Raw genomic sequence first — 17,032 nt, forward strand, 5'->3', positions numbered from 1 at the left:
ATTTGGCTGCAGTTGTGAGAGCCTGGATGAAACCAACTGGCTCTGGAATGTTCCTGTATCAATATTTACCAGTAGTCAAATCTTCACAAGCTGTTTTTCCTGTTGTTATTGAAATCAGCTCCATTTCTGGCTCCATCTTCCCCAAATTCCCAATGCTCTCTTTAATGTCTTTGCACACTGGATCCATCATATAATTGTGATTAGCAGCTGGAACTGACAGAATATATGAAAATATCCTGCTTTTCTCAAACTGCTGAGCCACCTCTTCATGACACTTGGCTATGGCTTCTCCCTCTCCTGACAGGGTACAGGAGCAAGGACTGTTAAAGGTGCCTTGCTCATTCTTTTGGAGGACACTAGAGCCTTTGAGATTTCTGTTCTGGGAAACTAAAAAAGCTCTAAAATATAAAGTCCCTTATTAAAAAATAAAATATAAATCATAACTACATACAGTTAAATATATTACATGCTTTACTACTATATCTGTTTCATAGCCACCTCCTGTTGCTATTGCAGTGAGCCCCAGTGTTGCAGGTATCCACTTAAAACACCGAGTGATGCTCATCATCTCCACAGGAGCAGTTTGTCTTGCCGGTAAATCCTGTTTCACAGTGAAAAGTGATCTCTCATGGTATTTTTTTAAAAATTATTTTTATATGTGCATTATATATATATATATATATATATATATATATATATATATATATATAGTACATGAGATGTTATGCTCAAGGCATACAAAGCATAATAATCACATCAAGGTAAATAGTGTATACATCACCTCAAGCATGTATCACTTCTTTGTGTTACAAACACTCTATCTATACTTTTTTTAGTTTTAGGTTTGTTTTTTTTTAAGACTGAGTTTCACTCTTGTTGCCCAGGCTGCAGTGCAATGACGCGATTGATCTCGGCTCACCGCAACCTCCGCCTCCCCGGGTTCAAGCAATTCTCCTGCCTCAGCCACCCGAGTAGCTGGGATTACAGGCATGTGCCACCACACCCAGCTAATTTTGTATTTTTAGTATAGACAGGGTTTCTCCATGTTGGTCAGGCTAGTCTTGAACTCCTGACCTCAGGTGATCTGCGCACCTCGGCCTCCCAAAGTGCTGGGATTACAGGCATGAGCCTAGGGTACAGAGCATGACCCTGTCTCAATAAAAAAAAGAAAAGAAAAAGAAAAAATCACCAATGCAATGCTAAATCTAGTGGGTGAAATTTTGAGGCGTAACTAGACCTTTATAGAGCCACAAAGTATTGCCACACAAGTTATCAGTGAAATACAAAAGGTAAACTGTAACTTTACCATGGACAAACCTGACAGGTACTCCTTAACCAAAGAAGCAAAGTCAACACTGGCCAGCAATGAAACCAAGTGACAGCCTCCAGATATGCTGCATAAGCCTCCAGATATGTTGTACTGGGAAGAAGTCAGCATCACCTGTGTGACATTCCTGCCTGAATGACATAACCTGAATCTAATAATGAGGAAACATCATATGAACACAAACTGAGAAAAAAATCCATAAAATAATTGACCCATACTCTTCAAAAACGTGAATGTTATGAAAAATCAAAGAAAGGCTCAAAAACAGTCCCAGATTAAAGGAGAACAAAGAAAGAGGACAATTGGACCCAATACATCATGGAATGTGAAAATCCCCCATCTTGGATTTTCTTTGGCTATAAAGGATATTATGGGGGAAATTGGCAAAATCTTAGTAAGGTCTGTCAATTAGATGTTAATATTGAATCAGTTTCAATTTCCTGATTTTGATAACGATAATCATAGTTATGTAAGAAAATTTCTTTTTAGGAAATAGTAAAGTATTTAGAAATAAAGAGGCATCATGTCTGTGACTAACAAATGGTTCAGGAAGAGAAATATATATTGTGTACCTAAATTTATATTTATTTAGAAAGAGAAGAAGAAAAGTGGGTGAAGAAGTAAAGCAAATGCAGTAAAATGTTAACATTTGAGGAATGAGACACAAAGATTCTTTGTACTATTTTTAAAATTTTTCCTTAAGTCTGAAATTGTCAAAACATATCTAAGAAGAAAAACAAATTTTTTAAAATATCAACAAATTATATCCCATTGTATGAAATAAACCATGCATCCATGTTGATCTAAGTAAATGAATAAATTGAAGATTTTATGAGGAACAGAGATATTTACATAGTCTTAAATTACCTCCCCACAATATATGAATTAATTACAAGATGAAAAAGTAACACTGCAGAAAAGAAATCCAGCAGATACCATCATTAACTGTCAATGCTAATATCACCAGTAATAAGACAAATCAAAATTATAGGTTATATGGTAGGATGCAATGAGAAGATCCCAGGATCACCTCTGAGATACTCTTGCTGAAAATAACACAATCTAAATCTAATCATAATGAAACATCAGGAAAAAACAACTGAGAGACATTCTATACTCTGAACTTTACTCTTCAAAAGATTCAAAGCCATGAAGTCAAGGAAACCTGAGGAACTGCTCCAGACTGAAGGAGTGTAAGAGACACAACATCTACATGCAACCCATGGCTCTGAATGGGATCCGTCTGCTATAAAGGACATGACAGACAATTAATAAAAGCTCAAAAGAAGCTGAAGATTGAATGACATGATGTATTAAAGTTAACTTACTGATTATCAAGGTTGTTATGTAGAGTGTCCTGACTTGTGGGAATACCTACTAAAGCAATCAGGAGTGCTGGCCTAATGTCAGCAATTTACTCTCACATGGTTCAGGGGGGAAATTATTTGTAATACAACTTGGAACTTTTCTATAATTTTAAGAGTGTTTCCAAAAGGTTCACAAATAAAAATAAAAATAAAAATAAATAAATAGAAAAGGTGAAAAGCCTAAGGCAACTCATATATTTCCAGAAGAAAAGATCTACATATATCAGTGCTTAAAATTAAGATTACGTAAGTTCGACAGCACTGTAACAGTTGACATACATCCAAACATTGACAATGACCACAGTATCAATATGTCAAAAGGATGTCTGTCTAAATCAAAATCTATCACTATAGAAAAATTATAAAATAAGAATAAACCATCTAACTCCACTGAAGTATTAATGACAACTTAGCTGTTTGGCTGTTTAACCAGCTGGCATTTTGAAAGTTTGAGTATGTAAAACTCAATAATACTCGTTTTCTTTTTCTTTTCTTTCTTTTCTCTTTTTTTTTTTTTTTTGAGACGTAGTCTTGCTCTATTGCCCAAGCTAGAGTGCAGTGGCACGATCTTGGCTCACTGCAACCTCCACCTCCTGGGTTCAAGGGATTCTCCTGCCTCAGCCTCCTGAGTAGCTGGGATTAAAGGTGTGCCACCACATCCAGCTAATTTTTGTATTTTTAGTAGAGACGGGGTTTCACCATGTTGGTCAGGCTGGTCTCGGTCTGACCTCATGATCCATCCACCTCGGCCTCCCAAGTGCTGGGATTACAGGTGTGAGCCACGACGCCCGGCCAATAATACTAGTTTACATTTGTAAGATCCATTTGAGAGTTACTCAAGAGGACCAAGAATCATTACTTTACATACTATATAAGTTTTCATCAGACAGGCATGATACAAAAATACTTTCCTTTAATAAAGATTTTCACGTCATATACATAATGGGAAGCAAAATGTCAGGTAAACAGACCAATAATTACATTCTACTGTCTTTCAGATCATATATTTCTGGTTAAAATCAATACATATTTCTTAATATTTCCAAACTATATCTTAATTTATATTTGACTCATCACTAGTTCCTAGATGAGGAACTACATACGATCCCAATTCAAATTCAGCAGCATCTGGAAAAAAAAAAAGAAGGAATTACTTATCTCAAATATTCCATAGTTAACTAAGTGTAAGTCAGTAACATGAGTTGAGAACTTCATCAGTGTTCATAAGAATAAAAAATACGTATGCAATATTACAATACAAAATTACTGTGAAATATAATTTGGTCATAGTCACAGATTGAATTACCATTGTGGTTAAGTATCAGAGCTCCTGGTTTTCTCATTTTTCATTCATTTATTCAACAACCATATGTTCAGGAACTAGGACAAGCACCGAAATTACATGACGAAGATGATACAGTCCACCCCTCAACATTGCATGCTACAACCTGAAAAGCAAGCAGACACGCAGGCAATTTCCACAGACAGTCACAGACACTATGGCAGGTATTAAACAGGGCACTGTTGGAACACACAGAAGAGACATGTTTCTCAGTTTCATGTCAATATTGTAGGCTGTTTGCTGGAGACAATATGTAGGTTAGTACCTGAAGGACAAGAGAGAAGAATGGCTGATGGAGGGAAGAACACGTGCAGAGAGCTGGAGCCGAGGAAGGTCCCTGTGTTCTGCGTAGCTGACTTTGGCGAGATGATAGAGCAAAGGGACAGAGTATGGCAAGTGATGAGAGATGAGGCAGAATAACTTGACAGGAGCCAAACTGATTTGGGTGTTTTTACTCCATGCTAGGAATCTGGAACCTTTCCTGAGAGCAAAAGTAAACCAATGACAAAGTAAATGACTGGAGATTTAAAATGTCACCTGTCACGTGGCTGCCTTTGAACTGGAGTAGCCTGAGTGTTACTAGATGAGCCTGGAGTCTGTCTCTTGGCCTTAAATCACCACCATAAACCTGGGAAGTCGATGATGCCTTTGTTTTCTGAGAACAGTTTCAGTGTGCTGGCTGGCAGGTCCATAGGGACGGTAGAAGTGAAGAAAGTGTAGAGCCAGAGGAAAAAGGATACACAGACTTCTTGAGATTTCTCTGAAGCTAAGGTACATGATGAATTAATGACGAGTTAAGTATACTTTTCATTATAAATGTTAATGCTTTCACATCTTCCATTAGTGGTGTGTATGAAAAAATATTTAACATATTACCTGTTAACCAAATTATGGAAAGGGATGCTTGCTATTTGCTATTCATAGTTTGTTTCAGAAATCAATGAATTAAATTTAGTTCATAAACTTTGGCAACATACCTTTTAGTAGCTCTCTAGCTATACTGTCTTGAAACTCCTGCGGCATCTGAAATATGTCAAATATAATTTATAATGTTTAAGTTAAACAGGAAACATTATTATGAGAATGATACATCACTTATAAAAATGTAGCCTTTTATATAATAATTTCAAAGGCTAGATCTAACTTGAGAATTGCTTAAACAATAACCATATAAATAAAATTCCTACTTATTTTAAGTTTAGATAACAGAGAACATATATGTGTTGTGCTGTTTAGATTAATACTAACAGCATTGATAAAAACTACAATTAATATTGATATATTAAAAATAACAACTATATCATGGTGATAAGAACTAAGCTCTGATTTTTATCTTATCCAAACTCCTACCTAGGAGTCTGGGGAGTCATGCCCCAGAAACCATAAATTCTCATCAGATGGGTTTTATTTAACTCTATATATTGTGACTTTCTTTTCAATCTGACTCTGGCATAACATTATGAGACAAGGAAAAAAAATTAACCCCAAAATATATTTCCTTGCTATACCTTGAAATTGCCCTGCAAAATCTCTTATGGGAAAAATCCAAATTCTATAGAGAATCCCCTGGCCCCTTTCCCTCCCTCCCTCCCTTCCTTCCTTCCTTCCTTCCTTTCTTCCTTCCTTCCCTCCCAGATCCAGGAGATAATCGACTGATAGCCAGGCACCCTTTTAAGTCCAATAAAAACAATTTACAACCTGCTGGCTCTAAAGTGTGCTATCAAAGTGCTTCCTCTGCTCAATAAAACTTGGTCTCCACAATGCTGGTTATCTTTAGATTATCTGTCTAGGCTATCCACAATCTAGGTTATCTTTAAGATGAACATTCCTTTCTATTGATCCCAGGTCTTTAGACAAACTCAACCAATTGTCCACTAGAAACGTTTAAATTTACCTATAGCCTGGAAGCCCCCGCTTTCAGTTTTCCTGCCTTCCGAAGCCAAACCCATGTATTTCTTAAATGTATTTGATTGATGTTTCATGCCTTCCTAAGATATATAAAACCAAGCTGTACCCCAACCACCTCAGGCACATGTTCTCAGAATCTCCTGAGGGCTGTGTCACGGGCCACGGTCACTCATATTTGGCTCAGAATAAATCTCTTCAAATATTTTACAGAGTTTGACTCTTTTCACCCACAGTGATCATGATAATATGATATCCAATGCCTTCACAAATTTTGGGTTTAAAGACATTTTTCTGACTAACAGGTTTAGGACTAGAGAGACAGTTTTCTGTAACTTTTTGTGACAATAACATTATAGATAGACTTTATAAAATGGGTGACACGACAAAATCATTACTAGCTGGGTCTTATAAAAGTAATAACTCAATACCAGATAAAGGGAGAAGCCTTTATTGAAGAAATCTTACGTTATCATTCATTAACACTGTGTAAAATGTGCAGTTTTACATCACTTGAACTAAGAACCTACAAATGTAATGTTATTATTTTCTTTTCTTCCAAAAGCTCTTCTCCTAAATATTTCCTTTGTGTAATAGATTGTATTAGTTCATTATACCACAGTCACAAATACTTTCATAATACTTACATGTTACTTAGATTACAAATCAAATACTTTTCTCGATAGGCTTCTTACTTTTATCCTCAAGAAGTCTTAACTCTCTAGATAGAGGAAACTTTTTGTAGAATAGATTTAAGTAAAGGTCATTCTTTTCCCTCCTAACTCTGAAAGAGTACAGTGTAGAAGTAGTTGCCTCTAGTCCAATCCTGGAGCTGCCTCTCCCTACATAAATCCTCTTCCAGCCTTTTGCTGACTTTTGAATATTTTACCACACAAATGACTGCTGAGGGCAACTGTCTTTGGGAAAGAGATACCAGGTCAGATTTGCAGGGTCAGAGGGAAAAGGGACAGACCAGAACACAGGGAGGGAGCTGTTCTGAAAGGGGCTTGCAAGAGCTGTCAGAAGGGTTGATGGCCCCAGTTTTGTCCTGGCTGGTGGCAGGCTGGGGTAGTTCTGCCCATATTCAGCAGTGAAAACTGGCAAATATGAAATGACTTTTCAAAATCCCTTTCATTTTATTCTTGCTTTTCCATTAAATAATATATTTTCCTAATAATTCCCTTAATAGAAATTCAGAACTGTTGTCACCCATTGAATGACTTAATACAGTGCCTGGTACAGGTTATAGAAGGAAAATGGCAAGAAAAGCATCTTGGTGACATTAATCACTGTCCTATTCAGTTAGAGACAAAGGTGGCATCAATGGCTTTGGAAGTGTGTAGAGCAACAGCTTAGGAGAAACTGAACGTTGTCAGAGGAAATAAAAAAGCTTAGTAAACTGCTTATCTTCATTTTATGCAATATACCAATCAAATCAAAAGCTACATTAGCTCCTAATGAATTAAAATACATAAACTTTTCATTAAACACATTCTTCCTTTCTCCGTGGTCTTTCTGTTTATTTCCAGGTGGAGATTATGTTTCAGATGATGGAGGTGGCTTCAAGTCCAACATTAATAAGGGGAGCACATTTGAAACTTCATTTGTACTTTTTCATTAAAAAAATCGGTAGGTGACAAATTATACACAGAATAATGTACCAACAAATTTTAGCTAATTAGAAAAATTCTCTCATAACTGGTAGTTTTCAAACTACGTCCCAAAGAAATCTAAGGTTCCACACAGGACACTGCAGGATTAAAAGACAAGGAAGTCACAGTTTAGAGCTCCCATCCCTCCCTTAGCCAGACAGCTGGACTTCTGTCTTACAGAATACAGTTTCGTAGACGTTTTATTAAAAAGGAAAGGGCTATTCTTCAATTTTTTAAGGTATGCCACCAATGTAGTTAAAGTCCCTAACTTTTCATAGGAGGCAACACAGGCTCAGAGAGATTGTAGCTTGCCTGAGGTCACGTAGTGAATTAGCTACATACAGGCCGGAAATGGGCTTCCGGTCTCCTTACTGAGCCTGGAGTTCTATGCCAGCTGCTTCCTTCTTATTCAGAAAACAGACACAGATTTTAAAATACAGCTCAGAGGAAATGCATATGTAAAACTGTCACATAGCTCAATAATGTTTAGGCATGAGACAGAAAAGAGTACTTCTCTAAATTTTAAGTTTGAAAGTTATGAAAAAAATTAGAACAGCAATTAATGTCAGAACTTTTGTTAGTAGCAGTGAATGTACTCAATGTATAAAGAACTTTTTTTTTTAAGTCACAGGACAGGGAACATGAAATAAAGAGCCTTTAGTTGAACTAAGCAAGCTGAAGTTGAGAAAAATTATTCCTCAAAAGGACTATTAATTTTCTCCAAATAAAACATGGTTTACCACAATCAATCAATAAGTCAATTATCCATGTTGTTGGTTATTTATAGCAAAATTGAAGACACAAAACAGATTTCTCTTTTTCATCTAGCACACTTCTGTCCACTGCCTCATCATTACAAAGACATGGATTTAATTTCAATTACAATTTAAATCCAGGCAGAAATGATAGGAGAACCTTGGTTTCCCTGGCCTCACATTTCCACATGAGGACTTACATTCTCTCTACGTTCCTCTTGGAAAGATTTACCAAAAGGGTGAATTTGTGCTCGCTTGGTTCTATGTCTGTCCTGTGAAATGATGTGTCTGTCCACAGTGACATGAATTCAAGTCAGCTGTCATCTCTGCAGCAGGCAGCCTGCTTTGGGGATGGGTATCAAGCTTTCTCCACTTATAACTGTGTGGGTGGGTGCCTAATCTGGGATGAAGTGTTCAGAAGCGCACTGTGCCTGCACTTCTGAGCCACATCCCTCATTAGTTATTCTGAGTCAGTAATAAAAGCTAGTATGTTGCTGCTCATCTGTCTGACTCCTATGTTCCCAACTTCAAAGGGGATTTGCTGCCTACCTCCCCACAGCCTCAGCAAGAAAGCTGACCTTACAACACGTATACCAATGTTTCCTTCTTCCTCAGTTACATGCTCTTACTGTACATTCTCCAACACATCCCACACTTTAAGAGGAGAAGATTCAAAAGGAAAATTTTAGAAAAAGAAATATAGTGAAATCAATAACAATGGGAAAGCCCAGTAAATACAAATATATAGTTCATTCATTCAACAATAGTGTCTAGTAACAGGCTACTGTCAAATAACACTTGAGATTACTGGCTGGAAAATACTGCTGCATTTTTCGAGACTGATTTAATAAATACATGCACACCACACACACACACACATTTTTATAGCTACTATATTTTCAGTAACTTTTGATGTTTTCAAATTAAACTGTGATAGCATTCTCTATTTTAAGGACCATTCAAGTGTTGTAAAAGTAAATATGCACTCAAGTGTCATAGAATCAAATATGTTTGCCTATTTAAACCACTGCAATTCAATATAAATTTAAATAGGCTAATGAATGGAGGAAATGATACTTGTCAGTCTGTGATTATGAAATACATGTATTTTGTCACAGAGAAAATGAGTGGGGAACAGTCTGGTGATTGAGGAGCTAAAGGATTCAGCACAGAGCCACGCATATATTTAAAGACCTTGTGAAAAAAGTGAAGAGAAAGAATGAGAAGAAGGTGAGAGATTGCCTGAAACTTTCAAAGGGTAAACTGAGTACTGGACATTTGGTAAGAAAGTACAATAAAGTGCAGACAGAAGGAATTATATAGAACATATATAACTGATGTAACAAAAGGTTTATCAAACACTGTCTTTGTATCCTGAATAAACAGCGTAACTATCATGATAGTTTCATTGGAGTTAAAATTTGGAGTAGAGAGTCACTGCCTTCATGATGCAAACAGGCCTCTTTTTAGTTAGGAAGAAACGCAACTCACTCTGTTGAGACACAATGCTCCACCATGAAAAAAAATCAAAGATTTAGAAATGTTGTTTTAGCTTGGATGTACCTGTATAACCACATTTAGAAGAAGTTGCTAAATAGAAAGCATCTTTGAGAAATAGAGAAATTACTGAAATAAACATTTCTGAATGTGTCAGTAGTGCACCACAAATCCAAAACTAATCAATGTAAAAAAGAGTCTTCCTATTTAAAACATTAAAAGAAAACATTTACTCGGTGACTACTGTGGGTTATGCATTCTGTTAGGCACAGAAGTGTTAAATAATGCTTGAACATACATAGTTTTTAAACCAGGTAAGTTTTACCTTTTATAAAATTGGAATCATTTTTTAAGATTCTGTGATCGGAAAATTATTATATGTGCAAAAAAGTCCCACAGTGAAGTAGCTGTTCAGGCTAATTTTAAGTTTCCTTTTTATAACAATATAATTAAAAGAGGAACCAATCAAATTTTAAAATTACTTCTCATATATAAAACAAAGCATACCAGAATTAAACTAGAATGTACAGACGGAAAGTAAAAATTAGCAAAGTATATGTACAGGAATCTCTAATCACTCTATCGCTAATCGATTAGTGGCGAAGCTAGACTTCATGGAATAGTGAGAGATGCCTTTAAAGCTAAACATTATGAACATAGAAAAAAAACTGCTTCAACCACCAGTACAACTGAAATCATATACTAGAGAAATAAGTAATATAATTTTCCTTAAAGTTAGGGAAAATGCAATCCACAGACCAGGAGATTCTCTCATGTGCCTACACCACCAGGGCCCTGGGTTTCAAGCACAAAACTGGGCAGCAGTTTGGGCAGACACTGAGCTAGCTACAGGAGTTTTTTTTTTTCATACCCCAGTGGCACCTGGAACCCCAGAGAGACAGAACTCTTCACTCCCATATAAAGGGGACTGAAGCTAGGGAGCCAAGTGGTCTCGCTCAGCACGTCCTACTCCCATGGAGCCAAGCAAGCTTTGAACCATTGGCTTGAAATTCTCGTTGCCAGCACAGCAGTCTGAAGTCAACCTGGGATGCTCAAACTTGGTGAGAGGAGGGGCGTCTGCCATTACTGAGGCTTGAGTAGGCAGCTTTCCCATGACATTGCTAAGGAAGCTGGGAAGTTTGGACTAGGGGGACCTCACCACAGCACAGCAAAGCGGCTGTGGCCAGACTGCCTCTCTAGATTCCTCCTCACGGGGCAGAGCACCTCTGAAAGAAAGGCAGCAGCCCCAGTGAGGGGCTTATAGATAAAACACCCATCTCCCTAGGACAGAGCACCTGGGGGAAGGGGCAGCTATGGGCACAGCTTTAGCAGACTTAAATGTTTCTGCCTGCCAGCTCTGAAGAGAGCAGCGGATCCTGACAAGGAAGATTACCCTAGCACAGTGCTCAAGCTCTGCTAAGGGGCAGAGTGTCTCCACAAGCAGGTCCCTCACCCCCATGCCTCTTGACTGGAAGAGACCTCCCAGCAGAGGTCGACAGATACCTCATACAGTAGCGATCTGGCTGGCATCAGGCCAGTGACCCTCTGGGACAAAGCTTCCAGAGGAAGAAACAGGCAGCAATCTTTGCTGTTCTGCAGCCTCTGCTGGTGATACCCAGGCAAGTGGGTCTGGAGTGGACCTCCAGCAAACTGCAGCAGACCTGCAGAAGAGGGGCCTGACTCTTAGAAGGAAAACTAACAAACAGAAAGTAACAACATCAACATCAGAAAAAAGGACCCCCCCACACAGAAACCCCATCCAAAGGTCATCAGCCTCAAAGATCAATGGTAGATAAATCCACAAAGATGAGGAAAAACCAGCATAAAAATGCTGAAAATTCCCAAAACCGGAATGCCTCTTCTCCTCCAAATGATCACAACTCCTCTCCAGCAAGGGCACAAAACTGGACGGAGAATGAGATTGACAAACTGACAGTAGCAGCCTTCAGAAAGTGGGTAATAGCAAACTCCTCTGAGCTAAAGGAGCCTGCTCTAACCCAATGCAAGGAAGCTAACCAAGAACCTTGATAAAAGGTTACAGGACCTGCTAGCTAGAATAACCAGTTTAGAGAAGAACATAAATGACCTTATGGAGCTGAAAATCATAGCATGAGAACTTCATGAAGCATGCAGAAGTACCAATAGCTGAATCAATCAAGTGGAAGCAAGGACATCAGAGATTGAAGATCAACTTACTGAAATAGGGCGTGAAGACAAGATTAGAGAAAAAAGAATGAAAAGGAACAAACAAATCCTCCAAGAAATATGAGACTATGCGAAAAGACCAAACCTATGATAGATTGGTGTACCTCAAAGTGATGGGGAGAATGGAACCAAGTTGGAAAACACTATTCAGGATATTATCCAGGAGAACTTCCCCAACCTAGCAAGACAGGCCAATATTCAAATTCAGGAAATACAGACAACACCACTAAGATACTCCTCGAGAAGAGCAACCACAAGACACATGATCACAAGATTCTCCAAGATTGAAATGAAGGAAAAAATGTTAAGGGCAGCCAGAGACCAAGGTCAGGTTACCTACAAAAGGAAGCCCATCAGACTCACAGCAGATCACACTGCAGAAACTCTACAAGCCAGAAAAGAGTGGGGGCCAATATTCAACATTCTTAAAGAAAAGAATTTTCAACCTATAATTTCTTTTTTTTTTAATTATACTTTAAGTTCTAGGATACATGTGCACAACGTGCAGGTTTGTTACATAGGTATACATGTGCCATGTTGGTTTGCTGCACCCATTGACTCATCATTTACATTAGGTACTTCTCCTAATGCTATCCCTCCTCCAGCCTCCCACCCCCCGACAGGCCCAGGTGTATGGGTGTGTGATGTTCCCTGCCCTGTGTCCAAGTGTTCTCATTGTTCAATTCCCACCTATGAGTGAGAACATGCGGTGTTTGGTTTTCTGTCCTTGTGATAGTTTGCTGAGAATGATGTCAACCCATACTTTCATATCCAGCCAAACTAAGCTTCATAAGCGATGGAGAAATAAAATTCTTTACAGGCAAGCAAATGCTGAGAGATTTTGTCACCACCAGGCCTGCCTTACAAGAGCTCCTAAAGTAAGCACTCAACATGGAAAGGAAAAACTGGTACCAGCCACTGCAAAAACATACCAAATTGTAAAGGCCATCGACACTATGAAGAAACTGCATCAACTAGCGGGCAAAATAACCTGCTAACATCATGATGACAGGACCAAATTCACACATAACAATATTAACCTTAAGTGTAAGTGGGCTAAATGCCACAATTAAAAGATACAGATTGGCAAATCGGATAGAGTCAAGACCCATAGGTGTGCTGTATTCAGGAGACCCATCTCATGTGCAAAGACACACATAGGCTCAAAAGTAAATGGATGGAAGAATATGTACCAAGCAAATGGAAAGCAAACAAAGCAGGGGTTGCAATACTAGTCTCTGATAAAACAGACTTTAAACCTACAAAGATCAAAAAGGACAAAGAAAGGCATTAAATAATGGTGAAGGGACCAATGCAACAAGAAGAGCTAACTATCCTAAATATATATGCACCCAATACAGGAGCACCCAGATTCATAAAGCAAGTTCTTAGAGACCTACAAAGAGACTTAGACTCCCACACCATAATGGTGGGAGACTTTAACACCCCACTGTCAATATTAGACAAATCAATGAGACAGAAACTTAACAAGGATATTCAGGACTTGAATTCAGCTCTGGACCAAGCAGACCTAATACACATCTACAGAACTCTACACCCCAAATCAACAGAATATACATTCTTCTCAGTGTCACATAGCACATATTCTAAAATCGACCACATAATTGGAAGTAGAACATTCCTCAGCAAATTCAAAAGAACTGAAATCATAACAAACAGTCTCTCGGACCATGGTGCAATCAAATTAGAACTCAGGATTAAGAAACTCACTCAAAGGGAGGACCCAAGATGGCCGAATAGGAACAGCTCCGGTCTATAGCTCCCAGCGTGAGCGACGCAGAAGACGGGTGATTTCTGCATTTCCATCTGAGGTACCGGGTTCATCTCACTAGGGAGTGCCAGACAGTGGGCGCAGGCCAGTGTGTGTGCACACCGTGTGCGAGCCGAAGCAGGGCGAGGCATTGCCTCACCTGGGAAGCGCAAGGGGTCAGGGAGTTCCCTATCCTAGTCAAAGAAAGGGGTGACAGACGGCACCTGGAAAATCGGGTCACTCCCACCCGAATACTGGGCTTTTCCGACGGGCTTAAAAAATGGCGCACCAAGAGATTATATCCCACACCTGGCTCAGAGGGTCCTACGCCCACGGAGTCTCGCTGATTGCTAGCACAGCAGTCTGAGATCAAACTGCAAGGTGGCAGCGAGGCTGGGGGAGGGGCGCCCGCCATTGCCCAGGCTTGATTAGGTAAACAAAGCAGCTGGGAAGCTCGAACTGGGCGGAGCCCACCACAGCTCAATGAGGCCTGACTGCCTCTGTAGGCTCCACCTCTGGGGGCAGGGCACAGACAAACAAAAAGACAGCAGTAACCTCTGCAGACTTAAATGTCCCTGTCTGACAGCTTTGAAGGGAGCAGTGGTTCTCCCAGCACACAGCTGGAGATCTGAGAACGGGCAGACTGCCTCCTCAAGTGGGTCCCTGACCCCTGAGCAGCCTAACTGGGAGGCACCCCCCAGCAGGGGCACACTGACACCTCACATGGCAGGGTATTCCAACAGACCTGCAGCTGAGGGTCCTGTCTGTTAGAAGGAAAACTAACAAACAGAAAGGACATCCACACCAAAAACCCATCTGTACATCACCATCATCAAAGACCAAAAGTAGATAAAACCACAAAGATGAGGAAAAAACAGAACAGAAAACTGGAAACTCTAAAAAGCAGAGCGCCTCTCCTCCTCCAAAGGAACGCAGTTCCTCACCAGCAACGGAACAAAGCTGGATGGAGAATGACTTTGACGAGCTGAGAGAAGAAGGCTTCAGACGATCAAATTACACTGAGCTATGGGAGGACATTCAAACCAAAGGCAAAGAAGTTGAAAACTTTGAAAAAAATTTAGAAGAAGGTATAACTAGAATAACCAATACAGAGAAGTGCTTAAAGGAGCTGATGGAGCTGAAAACCAAGGCTCGAGAACTACGTGAAGAATGCAGAAGCCTCAGGAGCTGATGCGATCAACTGGAAGAAAGGGTATCAGCAATGGAAGATGAAATGAATGAAATGAAGCGAGAAGGGAAGTTGAGAGAAAAAAGAAAAAAAGAAATGAGCAAAGCCTCCCGGAAATATGGGACTACGTGAAAAGACCAAATCTACGTCTCATTGGTGTGCCTGAAAGTGATGGGGAGAATGGAACCAAGTTGGAAAACACTCTGCAGGATATTATCCAGGAGAACTTCCCCAATCTAGCAAGGCAGGCCAACGTTCAGATTCAGGAAATACAGAGAACGCCACAAAGATATTCCTCGAGAAGAGCAACTCCAAGACACATAATTGTCAGATTCACCAAAGTTGAAATGAAGGAAAAAATGTTAAGGGCAGCCAGAGAGAAAGGTCGGGTTACCCTCAAAGGGAAGCCCATCAGACTAACAGCGGATCTCTCGGCAGAAACCCTACAAGCCAGAAGAGAGTGGGGGCCAATATTCAACATTCTTAAAGAAAAGAATTTTCAACCCAGAATTTCATATCCAGCCAAACTAAGCTTCATAAGTGAAGGAGAAATAAAATACTTTACAGACAAGCAAATGCTGAGAGATTTTGTCACCACCAGGCCTGCCCTAAAAGAGGTCCTGAAGGAAGCGCTAAACATGGAAAGGAACAACCGGTACCAGCGACTGCAAAATCATGGCAAAATGTAAAGACCATCGAGGCTAGGAAGAAACTGCATCAACTAACGCGCAAAAAAACCAGCTAACATCATAATGACAGGATCAAATTCACACATAACAATATTAACTTTAAATGTAAATGGACTAAATGCTCCAATTAAAAGACACAGGCTGGCAAATTGGATAAAGAGTCAAGACCCATCAGTGTGCTGTATTCAGGAAACCCATCTCAGGTGCAGAGACACACATAGGCTCAAAATAAAAGGATGGAGGAAGATTTACCAAGCCAATAGAAAACAAAAAAAGGCAGGGGTTGCAATCCTAGTCTCTGATAAAACAGACTTTAAACCAACAAAGACCAAAAGAGACAAAGAAGGCCATTACATAATGGTAAAGGGATCAATTCAACAAGAAGAGCTAACTATCCTAAATATATATGCACCCAATACAGGAGCACCCAGATTCATAAAGCAAGTCCTGAGTGACCTACAAAGAGACTTAGACTCCCACACATTAATAATGGGAGACTTTAACACCCCACTGTCAACATTAGACAGATGAACAAGACAGAAAGTCAACAAGGATACCCAGGAATTGAACTCAGCTCTTCACTAAGTGGACCTAATAGACATCCACAGAACTCTCCACCCCAAATCAACAGAATATACATTTTTTTCAGCACCACACCACACCTATTCCAAAACTGACCATATAGTTGGAAGTAAAGCTCTCCTCAGCAAATATAAAAGAACAAAAATTATAACAAACTATCTCTCAGACCACAGTGCAATCAAACTAGAACTCAGGATTAAGAATCTCACTCAAAGCCGCTCAACTACATGGAAACTGAACAACCTGCTCCTGAATGACTATTGGGTACCTAACGAAATGAAGGCAGAAATAAAGATGTTCTTTGAAACCAATGAGAACAAAGACACAACATACCAGAATCTCTGGGACACATTCAAAGCAGTGTGTAGAGGGAAATTTATAGCACTAAATGCCCACAAGAGAAAGCAGGAAAGATCCAAAATTGACACCCTAACATCACAATTAAAAGAACTAGAAAAGCAAGAGCAAACACATTCAAATGCTAGCAGAAGGCAAGAAATAACTAAAATCAGAGCAGAACTGAAGGAAATAGAGACACAAAAAACCCTTCAAAAAATTAATGAATCCAGGAGCTGGTTTTTTGAAAGGATCAACAAAATTGATAGACCGCTAGCAAGACTAATAAAGAAGAAAAGAGAGAAGAATCAAATAGACGCAATAAAAAATGATAAAGGGGATATCACCACCGATCCCACACAAATACAAACTACCATCAGAGAATACTACAAACACCTCTACGCAAATAAACTAG

At 39.3% G+C, this 17,032-nt stretch overlaps 1 pseudogene across 1 annotated transcript in view; it reads right to left on the bottom strand.

Moving 5' to 3' along the window:
• Window positions 1-3,590: 3,590 nt before the first annotated feature.
• The window catches only part of ANKRD26P3 (ankyrin repeat domain 26 pseudogene 3), an 82,174-nt pseudogene continuing 68,732 nt past the window's right edge, over window positions 3,591-17,032 (bottom strand). Inside the window, exons 18-21 of the transcript NR_027248.3 lie at window positions 5,014-5,059; window positions 4,574-4,802; window positions 4,001-4,142; window positions 3,591-3,822 (exon numbers count right to left, since the gene is read on the bottom strand). The product of NR_027248.3 is annotated as an ankyrin repeat domain 26 pseudogene 3 (transcript). The remainder of the gene's footprint in view (window positions 3,823-4,000; window positions 4,143-4,573; window positions 4,803-5,013; window positions 5,060-17,032) is intronic.

Source organism: Homo sapiens, chromosome 13 (genome assembly GCF_000001405.40).
Source record: "Homo sapiens chromosome 13, GRCh38.p14 Primary Assembly".
NCBI lineage: Eukaryota > Metazoa > Chordata > Mammalia > Primates > Hominidae > Homo > Homo sapiens.